We start from the raw sequence: 4031 nt of genomic DNA, 5'->3' as shown, positions 1-4031 counted from the left end.
CAGTCACATACCTAGAAAGCCCTAAAGACTCCTCCAAAAGACTCCCAACTTGATAAACAACTTCTGTAAAGTTTCAAGATACAAAATCAACATACAAAAATCAGTAGCATTTTTATACACTAATAACATTTAAGCTGGGAACCAATTCAAGAACTCAGTCCCGTTTACAATAGACCACACACACACACAACCTAGGAATACATTTAACCAAGGAGGTGAAAGATTTCTACAAGGAGAACTACAGAACACTAATGAAAGAAATCATAAGTGACACAAACAAATGGTAAAACATTTCATGCTCATGCATTGGAAGAACCAACATCGTTAAAATGACCCTATTGCCCAAAGCAATCTGTAGATTCAACACAATTCTTATCAAATTACCAATGCCATTTTTTACAAAATTAGAAAAAAAATTCTATAGTTCATATGGAACAACAACAAAAAGCCCAAATAGCCAAAGCAATCCTAAGCAGAAAGGAAAAATCTGGAGGCATCATATTGCCTGACCTCAAATTGTGCTACAAGACTATAGTGACCAAACAGCATGGAACTAGTACAAAAATCGACACATAGATCAATTAAAAAGAATAGAGAACCTAGAAATAAAGCCACATACCTACAACCAACTAATTTTTGACAAAATTGACAAAAATAAACAATGGGGAAATGACACTCTATTCAATAAATGGTACTGGGAAAATTGGATAGCCACATGCAGAAGAATAATACTGGGCTCCAACTCTCACCATATATATTGAGACAGAGTTTTACTCTTGTTGCCCAGGCTGGAGTGCAATGGCATGATCTCGGCTCACTGAAATCTCTGCCTCCTGGATTCAAGCAACTCTCTTGCCTCAGCCTCCAAAGTAGCTGGGATTATAGGTGCCTGCCATCATGCCCAGCTAATTTTTTGTATTTTTAGTAGAGACAGGGTTTTGCCATGTTGGGCAGGCTGGTCTGGAACTCCTGACCTCAGGTGATCTGCCCACCTCAGCCTCCCAAAGTGCTAGGATTACAGGCATGTGCCACTGCGCCCAGCTCTCTCACCATATATTATACAGAAATTAAATTAAGATGAATTAAAGACTAAATGTAAGACCTGGAACTATAAAGACCTTAGAAAAAAACCCTAGAAAAACTCTTCTGGATATGCTTAGGCAAATAATTTGTGATGGAGACCCCAAAAGCAAATGCAACAAAAACAAAACAACACAAATGAGACTTAAACTAAAAACCTTCTGCACAGCAAAAGAAACAATCAACAGAGTAAATAGACAACCTACAAAATGAGAGAAAATATTTGTAAATTATGCCTCTGAAGAAGAACTAATATTTACAAGAAACTCAAACAACCCAACAAGAAAAAAACCAAACACCACCATTGAAAACTGGGCAAAGGACATGGACAGACATTTCTCAAAAGAAGAAATACGAATGGCCAACAAACACACGAAAAAATGCTGAAAATTCCTAATTATCAGAGAAATGCAAATTAAAACCACAATGAGATACTGTCTCATACCAGTCAGAATGCCTATTATTAAAATATCAGAAAACAACAGATACTGGCATGGATGTGGAGAAAAGGCAATATTTATACACTGTTGGAGGGAATGTAAATTAGTTCAACCTTTATGGAAAAACAGTATGGAGATGTCTCAAGGAAATAAGAATAGAACTACCACTTGACCCAGCAATCCCACTACTGGGTATCTACCCAAAGGAAAAGAAATTATTATATAAAAAAGACACCTGCACTCATACGTTTATGGCAGCACTATTTACAATAGCAGTCATGGGACCAACATAAGTGTCCATCAACAGTTGATTGGATGAAGAAAATGTGATATGTTTGCACCAGGAAATACTACAAAGCCATAAAAAGAATGAAATCATGTTATTTGTAGCAACATGGATGGAGCTAGACACCACTATGCTAAGTGAACTGAGAGAGAGAAAATCAAATACTGCATGTTCTCACTTATAAGTGGGGGCTAAACAATGGATACACATGTATACAAAGACAGAAATAATAGACAATAGGAATTTCAAAACGGAGGACGGTTGGATGGGGTGAGTGTTTAAAAATAACCTCTTAGGTACAATGTCCAATAGTTGGGTGTTGGGTAGACTAGAAGCCTAACCCCCACAATTACATAATATACCCATGTAACAAACATGCACACATGACCCCTGATGTGGTTTGGCTCTGTGTCCTCACCCAAATCTCATTTTGAATTGTAATCCGAATTGTAATCCCCAAGTGCTGAGGGAGGGACCTGGTGGGAGCTGATTGGATCACGGGGGCAGTATTCCCCATGCTGTTCTCATAATAGTGAGTGAATTCTCATGAGAGCTGATTTTTTTTTAAATTTTTTTTTCCTGGCAAAGGCTTTTTATTCTAACAGCACTGGGTGGGCCCAACCCACCTGCCAGACAGTTCCCAGGAGTGAGGCTGGTCTTTCCCAGCAAGTAAGACACAGTTTTGTTAGGTGAGTGAGCAGCTCCTCCCTTAGTCCAGGGAGAGCCCCCACTCCACTGGGTGATGAAACTGGCTTTTTGGAGGCCTGGCAATGCACAGAGGCCCTTCCTCTCCAGGAATGCCCGGGCTCACATGGTCCACTTCAGATATCTGGTCTCCTGGTGGGTCCCCAGACAGCACACGGTGCAATACCAGGCACCACAGCTGACACAGGTGTAGGGGGAGGGGAAGCTGCAGACAGCACAGAAGGAACGCTGTGGCTGCGACAGGGACTCTGCACAGGCTATCAGGTAGTTGGGGCCCTTGGCCACACTCAAGTTCTGCTCCTCCAGCAGGGCCTGAAAGTTTTTTTGGACGTGAAGTTGAAAATGATCACCTCGGGTTTTCTTCTTTTACTGTCTGGTGTCTGCATCATCATCGAACTGTGGCAGTCTCTTGCTGAGCTGAGGGAGTCCCACATGGGGGTCGTCCTGGAAGTTGTCATTCTCCAGGACTTCTAGCTGCCAGTTGATGTGACGCTGCCAGGTGGCCCAGTCCAGCACCCGTTGCTGCCCAGGGTCCTGGGAGTGGACTTCATTGAATAGAAAGAAACCCTTTGCTTGCTTCCTTGACAAGATTCCAGACCTTCTCCATGTCCAGCAATGCTGCTCAGGCTCCAGCTTGGCTGCTCTCCCTGCCTCTACGGAGGTAGCTGGTCCTCTTCTCTGCTCAGTCTATGCACTCTTCCTGAAGTTTTCTTCTCCACCATTTGCACAACCCAACTGATCTGATGGTTTTATAAATGACAGTTTTCCCTGCTCTCTCTCTCTGCTGCCACCATGTAAGACATGCCTTGCTACCCCTTTGCCTTCCACCATGATTGTAAGTTTCCCGAGGCCTCCCCAGCCATGCAGAACTGTGCGTCAATTAAACCTCTTTTGTTTACAAATTACCCAGTCTCGGGTGGTATTCTTTACAGCAATGTAAAAATGGACCAATATAACTCCCAAATCTAAAATAAAATAAAATTTTAAAAGCTTAGAAATTGAGAGAAAACTTTAAAAACTGATAAAATGGTAAAAATTCATGAACAGAGAATACACACACACACACACACACACACACACACACACACACACACACCCTTAGCTCTTCGTCTCTATGGTATTCTTCCCTAAGATATGTAACTTCAGACTAATCATGAGAAAACATCAGATAATCCAAATAGATTGGCATGCTGCAAAACAGCTGACCAGAATTGAAAGTATCGAGGTCATGTAAAACAAGGAAAGACTGAGAAATAGTTATGGGTCAAAGGAAACTAAGGAGACATATTCACCAAACAATGTGGTGTCATGGATTGTTCCTCAAAACAAACCCCAGAAAGGACATTAACGGAAAGCTGGTAAAATACAAACACATTCTGTGCTTTAGTTAATATTGCTGTAATAAAGTAGTTACTTAGTTTTGAGAAATGTGTTGTGATTATGTAAGATGCTAACTCAAAGGAAGATCGGTGAAGTGGATAAAGGAACTCTGCACTCTTCTGACACTCTTAGATAACTCT

The 4031-nt window shown here is 41.2% G+C and overlaps 1 pseudogene; it reads right to left on the bottom strand.

Moving 5' to 3' along the window:
• Nucleotides 2420–3057, bottom strand: ZNHIT1P1 (zinc finger HIT-type containing 1 pseudogene 1; annotated as a pseudogene).

This window comes from Homo sapiens, chromosome 8, assembly GCF_000001405.40.
Source record: "Homo sapiens chromosome 8, GRCh38.p14 Primary Assembly".
Taxonomy (NCBI): domain Eukaryota; kingdom Metazoa; phylum Chordata; class Mammalia; order Primates; family Hominidae; genus Homo; species Homo sapiens.
The sequence above is the reverse complement of the archived record's forward strand: the minus strand, read 5'-3'. Positions and strand labels throughout refer to the sequence as shown.